Source organism: Homo sapiens, chromosome X, assembly GCF_000001405.40.
Source record: "Homo sapiens chromosome X, GRCh38.p14 Primary Assembly".
Taxonomy (NCBI): Eukaryota; Metazoa; Chordata; class Mammalia; order Primates; family Hominidae; genus Homo; species Homo sapiens.
In genome coordinates this window covers 31,357,404-31,379,938 of record NC_000023.11, presented here as the reverse complement: position 1 = coordinate 31,379,938, position 22,535 = coordinate 31,357,404, and the positions used below count along the sequence as shown (strand labels likewise).

The window sequence follows — 22,535 nt, the reverse complement described above, 5'->3', positions numbered from 1 at the left end:
GTCAGAGAGCCTTGGGCCAGAGTTCCAGGGGCTCTGGGAGTGGCTGCCAGGTGAGTTGAACAGTCCGATTTTCAGTGGGGTCCTCCACAGATGGGACATGGCTTAGGAGGAATCCCGGGCTGCGGGCATTCCTTGGCCCAGTGGCCAGATTTCTGGCACTTGTAGCAAGCTCCTGGGGGAGGCCATTCTGGAGGAACCCCTCGCAGCTGCAGTTCAGGCATTTGGAGTTCTTCTGTGCTGGAGATATGGCTGGGGTTTGTCTCACAGTGGAGGGAAGGAATTGCAACTCAGAAATACATTGCTACTTGGCTGCCTCTACTTTATTATTGTACACCTTGAAGGCGAGGTTAATTAAGTCTTGTGGGGTTTGAGGGCTGGAATTTAATTTTTGGAGTTTAATGTCGGGAGCAGATTGGGTAATAAAATATATATTGAGAATAAGACGGCCTTTTGACCTTTTAGGGTCTAGGGCTGTAAAGCATCTCAGGGTTGTTGCCAAACGAGCCATGAACTGGGCTTGTTTTTTTATTTGATGAAAAAGAGCCTAAACGCTATCTGATTTGGGATAAAGAAAAAGGAGCATTAACCTTGACTATGCCTTTAGCTCCAGCCACCTTTTTAAGAGGAAATTGCTGGGCAGGTGGGGGAGGGCTAGTCATGGAAGGAAACTGTAAGCCGGACCGGGTGTGAGGAGCGGAGGTGATAAAAGGATTATAGGGTGGAGGAGCAGAGGCTGAGGAATAATTGGGCCTGGCGAGGAGGGGAGAGGTCAGATGGGTCTGTAGAAAAGGAAGATTAGAAAGACTGAGCGATGCTTGGGGTTGGGACTGAGGGGACAGGTGGGAGGGAAAGAAGGAAGATTTGGAAGGAGTTGCATTGGGAACAGAGACTGGGGAGGGGCAGATGTGTAAAAGAATGCCTGGACATCAGGCACCTCAGACCGTTTGCCTATTTTATGACAAGAATTATTTAGAGCTTGTAGGATGGAAAAATTGAAAGTGCCGTTTTCTGGCTATTTGGAACTACTGTCAAGTTTGTACTGGGGTCAAGTGGCATCGCAGAAGAAAATAAGGCATTTAGGTTTTAGGTCAGGTGTGAGTTGAAGAGGTTTTAAGTTCTTGAGAGCACAGGCTAAGGGAGAAAAAGGAGGAATGGAGGGTGGAAGGTTGCCCATAGTGAAGGAGGCAAGCCCAGAGAAAAGGGAGTAGAGACACGGAGAGAAGGGGTGGGGGGTTCTTGTCCCCCAGAAAAGCGGAGAAGGGGTAGAGACATGGAGAGAAGGGTTGGGGGGTTCTTGCCCCCGAGAAAAGCGGTACTTGCCGCTAAAGGTGAAGGACCAAGGCAGGCGTCCCCGTGTGGTCAGACACCTCTGAAATGTGGGTGAATAATCAGGCAGGCATCCCCGCGTGATTAAATACCAAGGGAAGACTCTTCCGAGTCCGTGACCGGTGCCGGAGTTTTGGGTCCACGGATAAAACGCATCTCCTGTCTCTACCAGAAAAGGAAAGGAACTGAAGTTAAGAGAAGGGAGAGATTGAAGTGGGGCGCCAAGATTGAAAGGAGAAAGAGGTTGAGGGATAGTGAGAGGTTGGAGGAGAGAGTAAAAAGAGGCCGCTTACCTGATTTAAAATTGGTGTGATGTTCCTTGGGCTGGTTAGTCTGAGGACCAGAGGTCGTAGGTGGATCTTTCTCACAGAGCAAGGAGCAGGAGGACAGGGGATAGATCTCCCAAGGGAGGTCCCCTGATCCGAGTGATGGCACCAAATTTCATGCGCGTCCGTGTGAAGAGACCACCAAACAGGCTTTGTGTGAGCAATAAAACTTTTTAATCACCTGGATGCAGGCGGGCTGAGTCCAAAAAGAGTCAGCAAAGGGAGACAGGGGTGGGGCCGTTTTATAAGATTTGGGTAGGTAAAGGAAAATTACAGTCAAATGGGGGGTGGTTTTCTGGCGGGCAGGAGTGGGAGTCACAAGGTGCTCAGTGGGGAAGCTTTTTGAGCCAGGATGAGCCAGGGAAAGGAATTTCACAAGGTAATGTCATCAGTTAAGGCAAGGACCGGCCATTTTCACTTCTTTTGTGGTGGAATGTCATCAGTTAAGGCAGGAACAGGCCATTTTCACTTCTTTTGTGATTTTTCAGTTACTTCAGGCCTTCTGGATGTATACGTGCAGGTCACAGGGGATATGATGGCTTAGCTTGGGCTCAGAGGCCTGACAACAACGATCTTGTAGATAGGTACTGTTGTAATTCCCAGTTTACAAATAAGAAGACTAAGGTATAGAGAGATTGAGTAATTTGCCCAAAGCCCACAGCTAGTAAGAAGCCAAGATTCAAACCCAGGTAATATGGCTGCAGACCTGGTAATCCTAACCATTACATTAGGCTGACTCTCGATAGTTAACTTATTTAAGCTAGTGTTAATCACATCTTAACAAGTTTGAGTAATAAAATCTTAGGTTGAAAGGGGCCTTCAAGATCTAGTCTAAATCCTTTCAGGAGTTCTTCCACATTTCTGCTAGAAAACACTTTGGCCTAGGCTTAAAACTTAGTGATGGGGAACTCCTCACTTTGTAAAGCAGCCTGTTCAGTTCACAAACACCCTAATAATTAGGCTGTTATCTCTTGCATTGAGCTGAAGTTGATCTTCCCATAACCTCTGCCTTTCTGTCTATATGTATGCTTTGGAAATATACACAGTAAGTGTAAACCCTCTTGGCAAAGACAGCCCTTCAAATACTTGGGAGGCATTCAATTCCCCCCGCCACCTCCCGCTCTACTCTCACTACCAAGTCTTTAGAATAGAGTACAGGTATCAAAATCAAAACAAACAGGGAGTAGAAACTTAGTGCCAGACTTTAAGTATTTTTTACTTATAAAATCTTTTTGTGTAACGAGTAGAGCAACTCCTAACTGCATATATGTACTAAGTTTGCAAATGGGGCAATTTGTTTTTCCCCATGCACTGGCATCAGAGGTGGTAAATGCTGGCCTGTCAGATTCAATGCATTTTGCTGGGTTAGAACCGCAAGGGCTTTCCAGGGGACCAAGCTCTCTCTGCTGTAATCATTAAAACCTGCAGAATCCTGTGTGACTCTGGGGAGAAGCCCAGTGCTCTTGGCCCTCATCCACCCTCACTAGGAAAGCTGCTTAAAACTAGGACAGAAGAAACAACCACTGGCTTAGGATCAGTCCTCAGACCTGCCTTGGCACTACCCCTTTTATTCCAAATTTTGCAGTGGCACCTCCAACTTCTTGGTCACGTTTTGTACCTTGTCTGTTTCCTCATATAACTTCATTCCAAATTCCAACCCATGCTCTGACATTTCCTCTCCATTCTTGCTAGACAGGAATTTCTGGATATTGGATATTGGCCCCTGCCCATACCCTGACTCTGTATATTCTTTTGTCCTGCTGACCAGTTTGAGCTTCTGAATAACAAAAACTCCCCAACCACTTTAAAGTCCTCTACTTTAGCTTGATGGGTCCCTCTCCTGTATTTTCTGACCTTGACTCTGCTCTCTGTACAAATAGTAATTACACTCACCCCCAAGCAGAGAATCTGTGTCAAAATCCATCAGGATATCTAAGCACATCATTATATCTGTCAACTTCCCCAGACTCCTGATCTCAATCCCTTATTTTCAACAACCTGGCACCGACAGAGTATAATTTCTTTTGTATCATGATGCAGTTTGATGTGCTTTTCGAAAGGTTATGGTGGTGATTTTAAAGAGATCTGTTTTGTTAGAGGAAGGAAGGAAAATAGTGCTGTTTGCTTCCATGCAGTTCCTCAGAGCCTATGCCAGGGTGATTTCAGCTCATGAGAGAATCTAAAGTCTAAAGAGATGTGTGGAGATTAGAAACATTGGTGTAAAAAATCAGATTACGGAGACGTAATATCCAGGGTGTCAGAGGAGGCAGGGAGCTTCAATCATGTTTGAAACTATAGGTCCCACCCAACAGGATGAGAAAATACAGGAGAAGCCAGAAAAGGTACCTGCTTGTGGGTAAAATCAATTAAATGGAATCAATGGTATGGTAGCCATCATTTCTTTCTTTTCAAATTGTGGTAAAAACACATAATGTAAAATTTACCATTTTAACCATTTTTTAGAGTATAGTTCAGTAATGTTAAGTATATTCATGTTGTCATGTAGTGGACTTGCAGAACTTTTTCACCTTGCAAATCTGAAACTGTACCCATTAAACCACTTCTCATTTCCTCCTTTCCCCCAGCCCCTGGCAGCCATCTTTCTACTTTCCGTCTCTATGCATTTGACTATTCTAGGAACATCATGTAAGCGGAATTATACAGTATTTGTTCCTTTTTGGACTGGCTTATTTCACGTAGCATAATGTCCTCAAGTATCACCTATTAGCTGTCATTGCTTGAACACGGTTTTCTGCCAAGCACATGATCTCGTTTTATTCCCAGCACAACTCTCAATAACAACTGTGTACCTTTTTTCCCTTTCACAGATTAGGAATAAAAGGCTCTCCAAGACTAGGCTCAGAAGCAGAAGCAGTTGGAGAGTTGCTTGCAGAAGGATTATTGTCATACTGGGAAGTGCTCTCAGGATTTACACCTCTAAGAAACTGAAAGGGGCATGACTGCGCAGAGGAAAAGCTGGTTCACCATGCAGTTGCAATTATGGCTGCAGCAGGAGCATGCAGGGAAGCTCTGGAGTAGGTTTGGCCTTTCAGAGTTGTCCCCAGTAAATCAAATGGGTGAAGACTTTAACCCATTTATGCTGGAGGTTGCAAAAATGTTTTGTGAAAAGTCAGACCTTGGCGATGACCTTGAGCAGTAGGATATAAAAAACTCCCACAAGCTTAGCGTCCCAATAATGGAACACTAGGCATAAATGAGTTAATCCCTGCATCAGCCAGTCATTGGCCCTAGGTCTCTCCCTGAGGGAGGGGATGTAGCTGTGTGAGGCAGTTCCCTGAGGGCACATTCCAATGAAGGCCCCAGCTGTGAGCCAGCAGCCAATAAGGCAGCAGGTGGCCCATGCATGCAAAGGCCCTAAAGAGGAGGTCCAGGGTGGAGCGCCACGGTGTCTACTACAGATGCTGAAAGAGTAAATACATTTTATTTATTTATTTATTTATTTTATTATACTTTAAGTTTTAGGGTACATGTGCACAATGTGCAGGTTAGTTACATGTGTATACATGTGCCATGCTGGTGTGCTGCACCCATTAACTCGTCATTTAGCATTAGGTATATCTCCTAATGCTATCCCTCCCCCCTCCCCCCACCCCACAACAGTCCCCAGAGTGTGATGTTCCCCTTCCTGTGTCCATGTGTTCTCATTGTTCAATTCCCACCTATGAGTGAGAACATGCGGTGTTTGGTCTTTTGTCCATGTGATAGTTTACTGAGAATGATGATTTCCAATTTCATCCATGTCCCTACAAAGGACATGAACTCATCATTTTTTATGGCTGCATAGTATTCCATGGTGCGTATGTGCCACATTTTCTTAATCCAGCCTATCATTGTTGGACATTTGGGTTGGTTCCAAGTCTTTGCTGTTGTGAATAGTGCCACAATAAACGTACGTGTGCATGTGTCTTTATAGCAGCATGATTTATAGTCCTTTGGGTATATACCCAGTAATGGGATGGCTGGGTCAAATGGTATTTCTAGTTCTAGATCCCTGAGGAATCGCCACACTGACTTCCACAATGGTTGAACTAGTTTACAGTCCCACCAACAGTGTAAAAGTGTTCCTATTTCTCCACATCCTCTCCAGCACCTGTTGTTTCCTGACTTTTTAATGACCGCCATTCTAACTGGTGTGAGATGGTATCTCATTGTGGTTTTGATTTGCATTTCTCTGATGGCCAGTGATGGTGAGCATTTTTTCATGTGTCTTTTGGCTGCATAAATGTCTTCTTTTGAGAAGTGTCTGTTCATGTCCTTCGCCCACTTTTTGATGGGGTTGTTTGTTTTTTTCTTGTACATTTGTTTGAGTTCATTGTAGATTCTGGATATTAGCCCTTTGTCAGATGAGCAGGTTGCGAAAATTTTTCTCCCATTTTGTAGGTTGCCTGTTCACTCTGATGGTAGTTTCTTTTGCTGTGCAGAAGCTCTTTAGTTTAATTAGATCCCATTTGTCAATTTTGGCTTTTGTTGCCATTGCTTTTGGTGTTGTAGACATGAAGTCCTTGCCCATGCCTATGTCCTGAATGGTAATGCCTAGGTTTTCTTCTAGAGTTTTTGTGGTTTTAGGTCTAACATTTAAGTCTTTAATCCATCTTGAATTAATTTTCGTATAAGGTGTAAGGAAGGGATCCAGTTTCAGCTTTCTACATATGGCTAGCCAGTTTTCCCAGCACCATTTATTAAATAGGGAATCCTTTCCCCATTGCTTGTTTTTCTCAGGTTTGTCAAAGATCAGATGGTTGTAGATATGCGGCATTATTTCTGAGGGCTCTGTTCTGTTCCATTGATCTATGTCTCTGTTTTGGTACCAGTACCATGCTGTTTTGCTTCCTGTAGCCTTGTAGTATAGTTTGAAGTCAGGTAGCGTGATGCCTCCAGCTTTGTTCTTTTGGCTTAGGATTGACTTGGCGATGCGGGCTCTTTTTTGGTTCCATATGAACTTTAAAGTAGTTTTTTCCAATTCTGTGAAGAAAGTCATTGGTAGCTTGATGGGGATGGCATTGAATCTATAAATTTCCTTGGGCAGTATGGCCATTTTCACGATATTGATTCTTCCTACCCATGAGCATGGAATGTTCTTCCATTTCTTTGTATCCTCTTTTATTTCCTTGAGCAGTGGTTTGTAGTTCTCCTTGAAGAGGTCCTTCACATCCCTTGTAAGTTGGATTCCTAGGTATTTTATTCTCTTTGAAGCAATTGTGAATGGGAGTTCACTCATGATTTGGCTCTCTGTCTGTTATTGGTGTATAAGAATGCTTGTGATTTTTGCACATTGCTTTTGTATCCTGAGACTTTGCTGAAGTTGCTTATCAGCTTAAGGAGATTTGGGGTTGAGACGATGGGGTTTTCTAGATATACAATCATGTCATCTGCAAACAGGGACAATTTGACTTCCTCTTTTCCTAATTGAATACCCTTTATTTCCTTCTCCTGCCTGATTGCCCTGGCCAGAACTTCCAACACTATGTTGAATAGGAGTGGTAAGAGAGGGCATCCCTGTCTTGTGCCAGTTTTCAGAGGGAATGCTTCCAGTTTTTGCCCATTCAGTATGATATTGGCTGTGGGTTTGTCATAGATAGCTCTTATTATTTTGAGATATGTCCCATCAATACCTAATTTATTGAGAGTTTTTAGCATGAAGGGTTGTTGAATTTTGTCAAAGGCCTTTTGTAAATACATTTTTTAAGGTCACACAAATGACATATGGGACAGAACAGTGTTTAACTTCAAAACTCATGTTCTTTCTGCTATACTGGGCCTTCTCTCCGAAAGAGGCCTAATTTGCACACTACAGTCAAGCTTAGAATCTATTCATAGTTAAAATGTGGAGTCAAAGCCCAGGAACTATGTCCTTCAATTCATCTTTCATTACTTACCTATTCCTTATCATTCCCGCTGACACCAACCATTTTTTCTGACCCTTGTCATGAGGAGTGAAGTTGTATCATTGCAGCAGCTTTCTACTTGTACTCTATGCCTAAAATCTCTCCTTCCTCCATCTGGTCAGCCAATTGCTGTCAAGTTAATCTTGCAAGAACACTACTTTTGCCAGTTTAATTTCGCAAAACTCCTGCTGTGTGCCAGGAGTGTCCCAGACATCAGGTAGTCTAAGATAAGCGATAGTCTCTGCCCCTAAGCCGTTTGCAACCTTTGGAGAGACAACGTCATTATCACCACCAGCACCCCCATTAAGCTCAGAGCTAATATATGCCAGATGAGACTCTGCCAGTCACTGTGCTAAGGACTTGACATACGTTATCTCCCTTAATTCTAACAACTACTTTCTGAGGTACCTCTGATGAGTAGTATCATTTTTAGATACAAAAGCAGAAACTTAGCGAGTTAAGTGCTTTGCCCAGTGGCTCTCAGTTGAGAAACGAGGTAGTCACACCAGGCAGTCCAACTTCAGTACCTGAGTTCTTAATCATCATGTTTACAACTTTGGCTCAACATTGTCACCAAGATCGGGTTCAAATACATCCATTATCAATATTCTTTCTGTCTCCTTGTATGTCCAAACAAACAAAACAAATGCTTCCCTCCTGATGAGGAAAGTCTCCAAATCTTGATACCTGCTGTGTCTGGACAGTTTTTCCTGCTATTTGCTGAGTGCTGGAAGGATTCCCTCAATCCAGATGTGATTGCAGATCCAGCTCAAGCTCAGCGTCCTCCAGGGAACCTTTGAACTAACCACCCAGAAACGAGCCTTTCACCGGACACTACTCATTTTCACATATCTAGATCTTATTTCCCCATCTGAACTGTAAGTGTCTTAAGAGCTGATTTTGTTGTTTTTTAATAAAAAATAATTCTTAGTTTTTTTTCTTATTACCAAAAAATTATTCGCCATTGAAGCCTTCTGAATTTTTAATAAGAAAACTATTGGTATATTGCTTCAAAAAGAAATCTAAGCTTCTAGATTCTTGAAAAGGGATAGTGACAGAACCTTAGAATTAATATTCAATATAACTAATCTGATGAAAATTCAGTCATTGATACATTACTGAGAACTACTAGATCTCAGCATTTTTAATTGTAGATTCACATGGAGTTGTAAGAAATTATACACGGACTCCACATACCTTTTTACCGAGTTTCCTCTAATGGTACACCTGCAAAACTCTAGTTCAATGTCACAACCAGGATTTTGACGTCAATATTGTCAGTATACAGAACATTTTCATCACTACAAAGATCCCTCCTATTGGCCTTTTATAGCCACACCCACTTCCCTGCCCCCCCTACCTCCTACTTCCAGCAACTACTAGTCTGTTTTCCATTTCTTTAATTTTGTTATTTCAATAATGTTATATGAATGGAACCATACAGTATGTAATATTTTGGGATGGACTTGACTCACTCAACATAATTCCCTAGAGATTTCTCTTTTTATATGCAGCAAGACTTGTTTCCTTTTTATCGTGAGTTGTATGCTATGGTTTGGATATACCCTAGTTTATTTAATCACTCACCCCTTGAAGACATCTGAGTTATCTGTAGTTTTGGACTATTGTGAATAAAGCTACCAACATTAATGTACAGGTTTTTGTGTGAACATAAGTTTTTATTTCCCTGAGATAAATGCTGAAGAGTGCAATTGTTAGGTCATATGGTAGTTGAATGTTTAGTTTTAAAACTGCCAAACTTTTCCGAAGCGTCTGTACTATTTTATATTCCACCAGCAATGTATGAGTGATCCAGTTTCTCTGCATCTTCACCAACATTTGGTGTTGTCATTATTTTTTATTTTTAGCCATTCTGATATGTGTGTAGGAATATCTCATTGTGCTTTTAATTTACGTTTCCCTCGTGGCAAATGCTGTTGAACAACTTTTCCTGTACTTGTTTGCCATATGTATATCCTCCTCATTGAAATGTCTGTTCATGTCTTTTGTCTATTTTCTAATTCAAAAGTTTTTTTATAGTTCGGTTTTGAGAGTTCTTTCTGTATCAGATACTAGTCCTTTCTTGTGTATAGGGTTTTCAAATGTTTTCTCTCTCATCTTTTCATCTTCTTAACAGGGGATGAAAAAGAATTTTAATTTTGGCGAGGTTGAATTTATCGCTTTTTCCTTTTATGGATCATGCTTTTGTGTTGAGTCTAAGAATACTTTGCCTAGCCCTGGATCCCAAAGATTTTCTCCTGTTCTTTTTTTTTTTTTTTTTTGAGACGGAGCCTCGCTCTGTCGCCCAGCTTGGAGTGCAGTGGCCCGATCTTGGCTCACTGCAAGTTCCGCCTCCCGGGTTCACGCCATTCTCCTGCCTCAGCCTCCCGAGTAGCTGGGACTACAGGCCTCCACCACCACACCCAGCTAATTTTTTGTATTTTTAGTAGAGACGGGGTTTCACCATTTTGGCTCTCCTGTTTTATATGTCTTATAGTTTTACATTTTATGTTTAAGTCTGTGATCCATTTGATTTTTATATAAAGTATGAGGTTTAAGTTGAGGTTTATTTTTTGCATATGGATGTTCAATTGCTCTAGCATAATTATTTGAAATGGCTGGCTTGATTATTGAAGTAAGGTCAGACTTATTTCTCTCCTGGGCTTCAGACCCAGCCACCTTCTATGTTTCTTGTCCACCACAACCTGAATGTCCCACAGACACCTCAGACTTAACATGTCCCCAGCAGCTCATTATTATCCTCCTTTTGTCCCAATCCACCCTCAACATTTTTCCCTCCCTAATTGTGCTGTTCTTATGAACGCTACGCTTCACCCAATTGCCCAAGTCAAAAATTAGGGTATTATTTCTGAATCTACTTTTATCTTTAAATCTAACATGATGCATTGCCAAATTCTGTCAGCTCTATCCCCAAGCCATCTCTTAATTCATTCCCTTATTTACACCTCCCTTGACTCCAATATCTTTTGACTCAAATGCTACATAGCCTCTAATTTATCTCCCTGATATTGTTCTTGCTTCCGAATCCCTTTTCCACAATGCGCCTATAGTAATCCTCCTAAAATGCAGATCTGATTAGGTGACTCTCCTTATTTTAAAGTCTTTCTTATTGTTTTCTCCTGCCCTAAGGCAGAAGTTCCAACAAATCTTGTTATCAGATTCTGGATTAAATCCCGGCCTCAGCAGTGGGACCTAAGATAGTGCCTGAATTTCCATGAACATTTATTGATGACAAAGAGGGTCTTAAATAATGAGTGATGTAGACTTTCCACTGTCAACATCACAGATTCTGGTTTTTAATGGTATTCACATTTGCCTTCTCCAAGAGTCCAGGTTTAATGATGGTGAGACCTATCCTAAGACCTGGCTTTGTAGTGAGGGGTTACCTCATCACAGAATCAAGAAGGGACCTCGGGCCGGGCATGGTGGCTCATGCCTGTAATACCAGTACTTTGGGAGGTTGAGGTGGGCAGATCACCTGAGGTCAGGAGTTCCAGACCAGCCTGGCCAACATGGTGAAACCCTGTCTCTACTAAAAATACAAAAATTAGCTGGGCTTGGTGGCACACACCTGTAATCCCAGCTACTTGGGAGGCTGAGACAGGAGAATCTCTTGAACCCGGGAGGCAGAGGCTGCACTGAGCCGAGATTGCACCACTGCACTCCAGCCTGGGCGACAGAGCAAGACTCTGTCTCAAAAAAAAAAGGGCGGGGGGACCTGGGTGCAAGTAATTCTAAGAAGCAGGAATAAGAGAACAAGAAGAATGAAGCGACAAAGAAAGATGAGCAATTCTCTGGAACTGTTGAGAAGTGTACAGAAGAAAACAAATCTGGATATAGGTAGCTACAGCCTGAAATATGGAAAGCCAGAGCATGTGTATACCTGCTCCTGCTCCCACTGGTTGAGAATTGATTCCTTTTTCATCTGATATGGGCAAGCATTGGATCTGAGTGGGACACATCCTCTCCAGTGCACCCCTGCCTTTTCCGCTGCTCTGAACTTCACACAACGTCGGAAAGATTCAAAACAATGTAGAAAATCTAAGTATAAATACAAAAAGGAAACAAGAAGTTTTTCTATCAAAGCTGTGAACTATATGATATGAGTAAGCTCAATAAACACTGTGCAGAAGTTGGGAGGGGAAAAAGAGAATTGCTGCCAAAGCACTAACCCCTGTGGCTGGCTATGCTTGCCCACCCAGGAAGCTCCCATGTCATGGGGGTCAGGGGAACCTAGAACAGAAAGCTGAAAGGCTCAGGGATCCCTTTTGAGAAGGGATGCTGGCTATACAGCACGAGTTAGAACTTGCACAGAACCGTCCACTACTGCTGACACTGGAATCACAGGTGGGCTGACAAGATGTGATGCAAGCACCAGACATATTTGCTACAAACCTCAAAGTGGAGCAGAGCAGCGGCAGTGTCAGTCTTCTTGGTGTCAATAGAATACCTGTTTATTTGTTGAATTCTCCCTATATGAATAATAATAATACAAGAATTCAAAGCAGGATAGGCTTTGTGTCATTGGAGGAGTATGGAGAACCATCAGTGCAGTAAGTGTCGTGGGAGGTTTCTAGACAGTTTTTAAAAGTCGATATTGAGTCAACCATCAAATGTGAACAATTCTGATATGCCAGAGCATTTGTATTCTTAACTCATGGGGTTATTACAAAGATCAAATGAAATAATCATTATAAAGCACTTTGTGCAGTGCCTGGCACAAAGCACGCACTCAATACATGTTAATGTTTATACAATTATTATTATTGATTGTCAGAATTATCAGCCCCACATCAGCAAAGAATAGTAGGTGGTCTGTCAGCAGGAACATGGAAACATTCTCATTACATAGAAGTCAGTGTTGCAGGGACAGTCATTAAAACAGGATCTAATTTTAGTCTTCTGAGGGAAAATGCTAGGTTCTCCGGAAATGTTGAATCCTTCCTCGAGCATGTAGTTTAATTTTTCAAAATTATATTGCATATCCTGTAAAATGAAAATGAAATTGTACTGCTGTTCATTAAAGGCCCCCAAAAATCTTAGGCACTATACAATATAAATGAAAAAAAAGGCGTTATTTTTCCATAGGGCATAATTAGAAATAAAGAAGCAAGGTCACTCACAAATTTCCGAGCTATAAAGGAGGAAAGGAACAAGATTTTCCCCCGGTTATTTTATAGCTGCCAGGTTGAACTCATACTTATCCAATGAGCCCCAGAATGGAATACCGTTCTACACCAACTGTACTGATGATAGTGATTCAGGGAGTAAATGATAAGATTCCATCCTTCTAAAGTGCTTTTGGGATTGGATTCTAGTAAGTTTCATTTTGCTATTGGCCAATCACAAAAGAGACTACAATAGAGAAAAGTGAAGACATCATGCTGAAGACAGACTGCTGCATAGAAAAGGAAGAGGGACCCCCTAATTTAGAGATATGGATGGAGAAAAAAAGGCACTTATGCTGTAGCATAAGGGAAACATTAAATAAAGCTATAATAGAGGAGAAAATGTCTTTGAATAGAAGAAAAAAATCAGACAGACAGAAATAGACTAAAATGCTAAAAAAAAAGATACAAAAGGACATTGAAGGGGACATACAGTGATTATTACACAAATTAAATGCACACAGTTAAAAGGGAGGTGAAAAGCTTCTAAAAAGAATGAGTGTGTAGTGAACTTAATTTTATCATCTTTACTAAGACAAAGTTAAAGTCCCTAAAATATTTTAAGACACTTAAAAAAAAAAGTCTTAAAATTTTGAGAGCCTTTCAGCTCTGTCAACTCTAGACTTTCCCTCCTACTTAAGTTTTTTTTCTTTTTTTTCTTTTATCTTTTTTATTTATTTATTTTTTTTTTTATGTTTTTTTTTTTTTTTTTTTTTTTTTTGAGAGAGAGAGAGAGTGGATCAGCCTTAATAAGAGAATGGTCTTCTGCCAGGTGGTATTCTCCTAATCCCTTTCCAGTGAGATCCACAAGGGTTCAAAACCACTTTCTGGGGTCTTAGAGGCACCACTTATCTCTCTTCCTCTGCTCATATCTTTCTGCTCCAGTGCCCGCATAGTTTGTGTTATCAGTGGTGCGTAGCCTGAGACATCCACGACCTATGCCAGCTCTCGAAGTAATGTGATTGGCATCCAAAGAAACACAAGAAGCCCATGATTTCGTCCCTTTGCAATTTAAAATCATATTTAAAATGCCTTTTGGTCATACAAATTTGAAAATGATCTTGTAAATCACTTCCGGGAATCTATGGTCAAAACTCAGCTTAGAGTTCTCTACTTCTTAACAGAGTGCCTGCCGGTAACTAGTGACTGTCAATGAGTTTGAAAACATAAATTGATGTGCAAATGCTAGATAATAGCAACATCCTGTGCAACTGGGCAGCATTTCTGTTGTTTGGCTTTTTTATTTTCGTGGACTCTCCCAATCTGAGAGAAAATAGATTTGAGTTCCTTTTTAATCGGTTTAGACCCAGACAAGGATTTAATTGGTTTAGACCCCATTCACCTACGTGTGTCACTCTGTCTCCAACATAACAGAGGAGATGACCAAGACAACATGCTCTCCAGCCAGGAGGTGGGGAATACTTTGGTGTCATAGCAGACAATTATTGATGGAAAACTCATGTTAGAAAATGTAAGGTACCTTCTTCTAGACGGAGTAAAAGGGGCAGCTGCCCAGACTTTCATTTTAAATAGGGAGCCCATGATACAAATCTTTTAATACAATTTTAAAAAGAAGAGACATAGGGGGTATCTCTTAGGACCTGTCAACAACCAACCCTCTATCAAATGGCCAAATCACAGGTGGTCTGCAGCTTAGCCAAAATGTCCAAGTACCTTTTTGTAACACAGAATCTCCTTTGAAGATCCAGCTTTCATTAATGATCCCCAGCAGCTCTGGTCAATGTGTCTTTTCACAAATGAAGCTTTTTAAAAGCTTTCAGTGGACAAATGTGGCTTTGAGTTTTCAACTAAATCTTTCTGTTTAAAAGGAGTGCTGAAATGGGCATACTTTATAATCTTAAATGCTGCACACAAAATACTGAAATATTATTGACCCTGAGAGGTTGGTTCAAATCAAATAGCATACTCACGTAAACGTTCTCTTTTCCTAATATTAGCAACAGGGAATGTGAAATAGAGAGGGGCGGGATATGCTGGATAGGGGTGCACCAAAATTTTCAAAAAGCCTCGAAACTAGTGTATATTGATAACCTTGTGGCATCTAATATCTAGTATTCTTTTTTTTTTTTTTTTTTTGAGATGGGGTCTCGCTCTGTCGCCCAGGCTGGAGTGCAGTGGTGTGATCTCGGCTCACTGCAACCTCCACCTCCCGGGTTCAAGTGATTCTCCTGCCTCAGCCTCCTGAGTAGCTGGGATTACAGGCGCCCGCCACCACGCCTGGCTAATTTTTTGTATTTTTAGTACAGACGGGGTTTCACCGTTAGCCAGGATGGCCTCGATCTCCTAATCTCGTGATCTGCCCGCCTCGGCCTCCCAAAGTGCTGGGATTACATGCGTGAGCCACCGCACCCAGCCTAGTATTCTATGTCTATTATTTCTTCATAATGAGACTGGGGGAAATCTTTGGAGAATTAATGCCGCAGTTGGTAAAATCATTCTATAATAATGGGTACCATTCTGCTCTGTCCCACATTTTTATGAAGTCTCTTTAAATTTAAAAAGGCAATGTGCTTTGTGGTTCTTGAGCAACTTAAATACGTTGCTCTGAATAGTTATTGTGATGAGGTAATTTGTAACAACTTTTAGGATCAATGCTAATTTTCTTAAATGTTTCTGTAGTTTCCCCTTTATTATAAAGTATATTAGGCTGGACTCTTGGCTGTAAGTGACAGAAAACTCAACTCAGATTAGTTAAGAAACAAAAGGGTGTTGGTGACAGTGGTGGCTTTCAGACTATTGCTGCAGGCCCACCTGCCATCCTCTTAACACCCTCAACATACCCTGCAGAAAAGAGAGAGCTACTCTGACCCGAGAGCTTAAAGACTGGTCAAGTATGGGCTTGACTCTTTATGGCCCAAATTGGGTCACATGCCCACCTAGGCTAGGGGAATGGAATCGTGGAATTGATTGATTGATTATTGTTGCAGGTTGAGTCCTCCAAGAAGCAGATGCCAGGGCAGATTTATTGCAGAATAACACCTGTGAAGAAATAGGGGTGGAAGCAGAATTGAACAAGGGAAGCCATCAGATCACAATGCAGATCTTCTAGACTCTGTGTCAGCACAACAAGGAATGCCAGAGCAAAGACTGCCAATTAGAGGAATACTGAATTGGGCAGATCTGACAATAGTCTGTATATAACTCGGGACTGTTAACTTCTCCTTCCTCAACCAGTTATAGACATAGAATAGGACTCTCTTATCTCAAACATCAATATCTGTGTATATGAAGTAGAGGGTGAAAGTTTACTGTACACTAGTGGTTCTCAACCAAGAGCAAGTCTGTCCCCCAGGGGACATGGCAATTTCTGGAGACATTTTCAGTTGTCCCAACTGGTGAGGAGGTGCTACTGGCATCTAGTGGGTAGAAGTTGTGGATGCTGCTAGGCATTCTCTATAATTCGTGGGATAGATAGCACAACAAAAAATTGCCCAGGCCAAAATGTCAATAATGCTGAAGTTGAGAAACCTTGCTCTATAAAGATACATGTCTTGGCCGGGCACGGTGGCTCACGCCTGTAATCCCAGTACTTTGGGAGGCCGAGGTGGGCGGATCACGAGATCAGGAGATCAAGACCATCCTGGGCAACATGGTGAAACTCATCTCTACTAAAAATACAAAAATTAGCCAGGCGTGGTGGTGCATGCCTGTAGTCCCAGCTACTGGGGAGGCCGAGGCAGGAGAATCGCTTGAACCCGGGAAGCGGAAGTTGCAGTGAGCCGAGATGGCGCCACTGCACTCCAGCCTGGTGACAGAGCAAGACTCTGTCTCAAAAAAAAAAAAAAAAAAAAAAAAAAAGATACATGTCTTATGTGTACTGAAAGAGGCCACGGAAACCTTTTGTTGATACATTCTTGATAGTTTTTGTTCTTATATGTAGTTATGAATACTTGAGATTCCATCCAATTTATTTAACTTTTGACCAGAAAGGGTAGATTGAATTGGTGAAACATCTATATCCTGAATATTTAAAAGATTCTGTTTTTTAAAACAAATATTAACTTGAATTAACGTAAATATTCTTAGTAGTTAAAGTCCTTAAAGACCTTAGTTTGGTGAACAGATAAGAATCATCTGTGTTCAGCATATGCATTGCCTTATGAAGATGGTAAGTCAAAAGTATGAGTTTATTTCTGATATTTAAATATCCCTGAGGTATAGATTTGTTTACTCTGGAAGTTTACTCTGTTGTTTGTTTGTTTGTTTTTGTTTTTGTTTTTTGAGACGGTGTCTCACTCTGTCACCCAGGCTGGAGTGCAGTGGCACGATCTCGGCTCACTGCAAGCTCCGCCTCCGGGGTTCACGCCATTCTCCTGCCTCAACCTCCCGAGCAGCTGGGACTACAGGTGCCCGCCACCATGCCCGGCTAATTTAATTTTTTTGTGTTTTTACTAGAGACGGGGTTTCACCGTGTTAGCCAGGATGGTCTCGATCTCCTGACCTCGTGATCCACCAGCCTCGGCCTCCCGAAGTGCTGGGATTACAGGCCTGAGCCACCGCACCCGGCCTTACTCTGTTGTTTTATTTCTTCATTATATATTACAAAGTTGAATGTTAGGGCCAGGTTAGATCGGAAAACAAGTTAAGTATTCCTTATCCAAAATGCTTGGGACCAGAAGTGTTTTGGATTTTTTATTTTTGTGGATTTTGGAATATTTGCATATTCCTCATGAGATATCTTGGGATGGGACCCAAGCCTAAACATGAAATTCATTTATATTTCGTATATACCTTATACACATACCCTGAAGGAAATTTTATACAATATTTTAAATACTTTTGTGCGTGAAACACAAAAGTTTTGACTGTGACCTGTCACATGAGGTCAGGTGTGAAATTTTCCACTTGTGACGTCATGTCAGTACTCAAAAAGTTTCAAAATTTGGAGCATTTCCGATTACTTTGGAAAAGTCTAGAAAAAGTTTGATATCAGTGCACTGAAATCATTTTCAAGTAGGAACAATAGCGATACTAGCCCTTTACTCATGCAAAATTCACAGTTTTTATCTAAACAACACAAAATCATTCAATGCTTTTATATTTAATCATCTATATTCACCTAACCATAAAAAATCAATTTCAATACAGTAAGGAAAAGACAAGAAAACGAATCATTCTAATCACTGTATTTTGAAAGTTCTTTGCAAACAACCGTGAAATGGTTAAAAGATAGGAGGATGGAGACCAGCCTGGCCAACAGGGTGAAACCCCATCTCTTCTAAAAAATACAAAAATTAGCCGGGTGGGTTGGCGCATGCCTGTAATCCCGGGTACTCGGGAGGCTGAGGCAGGAGAATTGCTTGAACCTGGGAGGCAGGGGTTGCAATGAGCTGAGATCATGCCACTGCACTCCAGACTGGGCAACAGAGCAGGACGTCTCAAAAAAAAAAAAAAAAAAAAGATGGTAAGAGAATGATGACTTGTTGCTTACTAAAATAAAGGAAAGATTGACACTATAAGTGATACTGTTTGAAATCTCAGGAATCTCTGAATCATTAAGATTATATCACAAATGGCATGCAAAATACCTGTTCAAAAAATACTCCTCATGGACATGAGATGCTAAGCTGCTGATACTGAGTCTGACCTAGGACAATGATGTTCTGTGTCACCTCTTTTCTGATGCCTCCCAGATTGCTCCTGGCCTCACTGCTGTCTCACTTCCAAAAATACATATTGCCCTTATTGGTCATAACACAGAGACTATCAGTTCAAAAGTCTCTAATTCGTCTCAGCTGCAGTCATCTCCCAGCAAGACACAAGGTTCTTGAGAAAAGAAATTTTTCATGTCCCATCTTTGCCATCCACCACACGATGAACATACAGTACAGTGTACATAGCAGCCCTTGAAAATGCTGGTGGAATCATTGATTCTTGAACCCAACTGTCATACTTTCCAGATTTAAGTCCTGGTAAATGATTAAAATCGTATGGGTTACCCTCAACAAACCAGCTCAAGTATTTACTATAAAAAAGGGAAGCTAGATATGGAACTTCCCCTAAAGATGGGTCTGTCAAACTCACCCCATTGTATTCTGCTCTGACACCATGTTTTTTGTTTGTGTTATTTTTTTTTAAGAGACAGGGTCTCACTATGTTGCCCAGGCTGGTCTTGAACTCCTGGGTTCAAGTGATCCTCCCACTTCAGCCTCCCAGGTCACTGTGAGAGATTACAGGCTTGCACCACCATGCCCAGCCCCACCTTTTAATACAAATAAGTAACAGTTACCATTTACTCAGTGCTCACCTTATAACAGATGCTGTTAAACGCTTTACACGCCTTAGCTCATTTTTAGTTAAATACATTGTTTTTGCCCCAGCTATGGTAGGGATCTTGCTAACAATGAGAATGAATGATAAGAGGGGCTTTAAGGAGAATTCACTGCCACACCTTTCATAATTTTCCCATCATTCCTCCAGTCTTTGTTCAACCGTCCATGATTTACTGATTTGCTATTACATCAAACTATGCTGCAACAAACCAGTGGTTCCTTCTGATTTTTATCCATCTCCTCCTCACCTAGGGTGAGAGTCTGAGGCTTCCTTGAGTCTACTTTCTGATATTGTTACATTTAACACAGAACATCTCTTGTTTTCGTTTCTGGCAGCTTATCCTCTCTTCGCTTTCTCCATGCTTTCATTCATCCTAAAACACCATTCTGACAATGATATTTAGGTTGGTACATAAGTAATTGTGGTTTTACCATTACCTTCAATGGCAAAAACTGCGATCACATTTGCACCAACGTAATATTTTTCTTACTTAAAAAATTAATGTAGAGTATGGAAATACTTGCCATCAGGGAATGGGGAAGAAAATGGCTAGAGAGACATGGTGAAAGAGAGACTTGATTTTTAAATAACTTTTTTTGTTTTTCTTGAATTTTATTATCATGTGAATGCATTTGAAAGAAATACAATTTTAAAATAATTATTAAAAAAATATTTGAATGCCTTCCCATGAACAACTAAATGAAGTCTCTATTCTTAAACCTGACAGTCAAGTACAGCTCTGGTTTGACTCCAAGCTACATTTCTAGCCTTGTATTATTCAACTCTTTTTCTGTTTATCCTTCATATCCGGGCCTTTACTAGTGCCAAAAAAAAAAAAATTGCTCATTCTACTCTTGTCACCCAGAGTGTTTCTTCTGTTTTTGCCCATCAAAAGCTTACCCAATTGTGAAGGCCCAGTTTCAAAGCAACCTCCTTCATTAATTTCATCCAGATACTCTGTAACCCCCATAGCTGTTTAGGCTTGTTCTAGCAATTTGCAGTTATCAGAAAAATGAGTACATACCGAGTGCCAGAAAGTGGTCTCTCCAACTGTGCACATTACAACATCTCATTCTCTGTGCCTCCATTTCCTCATCTGTAAAATGGTCACTATGGTGTACTTTCCTCATAGTGATGTTCATTCTTTCAAGTAGTTAGTTAGGTACCTACTATGAGACAGGCACTGACCTGGGTCCTGGGGGTACAGTAATGAATAAAATAGATTGAGTCCTGCCCTCATCAAATTTACCTTCTGATAAGAAAGACATAAATGAAATATACCTATAATGCTCTTGAAATAGCACTTGGGATATAGTAAATGCTCTATAAATGTTTGCTATTATTACTGTCATTGTTGGTAGTGTTGTTATGTGGTATTTCTATTAACACATAAAGAAACTAAGGTTCACAGGCTGTTAGATAAGATGCTGGTTAAATAGCTAGTAAGGGACTCCAACTCAGGTCTTCCTGAGTCATAAAATTCGTGGCATTTCCACTACACTGATGGATGTATACCAGGCTGTACATCAGAACTATCTGTGGAGACTTAAAGAAAGTAAAGATTCTCAAGCCTCAGCCTCAAATTAACTAAATCAGAAATTATTTAGACGAGCTAAGAATCTGTATTTTTTTGAAAAGTTCTCAAATAGTTGTGATACACTGTCAAATTGGGGAATGACTGCACTACATTAAAATCTTTCCCATAATACTTTATTATGCTTATTTGTAAATATCAAATCTACAAATTCACTAAAGACCATCCCCTTGTTTTCTTATTTATTTTTATTTTTTCTGCTTCCTCTCCTAGCAAAGTGCCTTATAAACACTCAATAAGTATTTGAGTAATTAATGGCTTAATTATTTAAAGTTGCACTTAAAATGCAAATACTCACAGCTGTGGTACTGGAAGCCTGTTATGAACAATCATTTATCTTCCTAGGGTTATTTACTAATCAGCTAAGGACAAGCAGTTGGGAAAGAAAGGCTGACTATTTGGGAACAGAACTGAGAAGGCCCTCAAACCAAATGTTAGCCACGTTATTGAACAGCCTAGGGCCCCGCCTTAACTTTACCTACACTTCGTTGACAATTTCAGGTAAAATGCAGAAAATATACGCTAACAATCAGGAGATTCCTCCCTCACACCATTGTAGTTTCATTTCTTTTAAGCCGACACATGTCTCTCTTATGGAAAATATGGGAACAACCTGTTTTAAAGAAAGAAAAAGAATCCTTTATTCTTGTCACACCACAAACATGGAGTTCACTGCTATACGTTAAGATTATAAAGCAAAATCCCAAAAACGCAGTGACTGATTATTCACAGTAGACATATGAAGTCAGGAAGCTTATTTTTTCTCTCTTTGCTAAGGCACAAAGCCTGGGGCTATATGCATTTTTATTACACTGTACTGTGTTGATTTCACTTGAGGATTAAAAAGAGAGTTGAGGCACAGTGCACGTATCTTGATGGATTTTAGGATTTCTTGCTTTCGTGAAAGAAAGAAGCTTATAAAGTACCTCAGATTATCGCCCAGGGAAGTGTACCTACTTCCATGATGACCTAGAAATTCAATCTTTTGTTTCTCCTATAAAAGATCACATTGTACTTTGGATGTTTTCCCTGTAGTTTTCTGCACTATGTAAAGCCACATTTGGAAAAACAAAATAGTTTTAGTTTAGAGTTGAAGTGAAAATATCTGAAATAGTTCAGGAAAGTCTTATGAGCATTTGGGGAGCTTACAAACAGCCTTGGGGGTGGGGTGAGGGGGAATGAGGGAAGAGGGAGGCAGGGGGAGAGAAGAGGAGGGCTAGGTCAGAAGTGTGCAAAGAAGACAGAGGGAGAGAGACCGTAGAGACTGTGAGTCCATGGCAGAGTTTTAATTCTGGTTCTCACACATCTACACAGAGAAACAATGGAAGCACATTGCTCCATCCCCTGTCCTTTACTAAGAAGCGTGAAGTAAATAACTTGTGGCTTATGATATGCGAAGAAGAGAGAAGACAGAATGTTGTAGGATTTGGAAGTACAGTAGATGAGATCTTCCGGTTTATTGATTTGTAAAGAACGGCTTGATACTGGTTTGTCAGTTCTGCATCAGTGAGAGAAAAGAAAGGCGCTTTTCAGTCACTTGCCAGAGGAGGAGAGCCGGGAAGTGGAAACAGGGTCTTCTGGCGGACAAGCTTCCTTGAGTGGTGGTCAAATTGACTGTGAAGGGAGTCAAGGTCAGGAAGCTTTGGAAATGCTGCAAGGATGGTACGGGATTTAAGGAGGGTTGATTTCCTCGGTTAAGGGTTGTTGCAGACTTCAGCAAATTCCCCCTTCCAGCCTTTATTAAAGAAGTGTTTAGTAGAACAAACTGAAAATCTACAAGTATATTGTTACCCAAAATATAAAAGCTTCTGCCACTGAGATGAAAATGTTTGATTTCCAGTGCTTTATCTTTTTGCATTTATCTACCTGTTTCAGTCATTCGTTAATATGAATTTCCTAA

At 41.0% G+C, this 22,535-nt stretch overlaps 1 protein-coding gene across 21 annotated transcripts in view; it reads left to right on the top strand.

Annotated features, from left to right (window-relative positions):
* DMD (dystrophin) overlaps positions 1-22,535 on the top strand; it is a 2,220,167-nt gene that overhangs the window by 1,959,450 nt on the left and 238,182 nt on the right.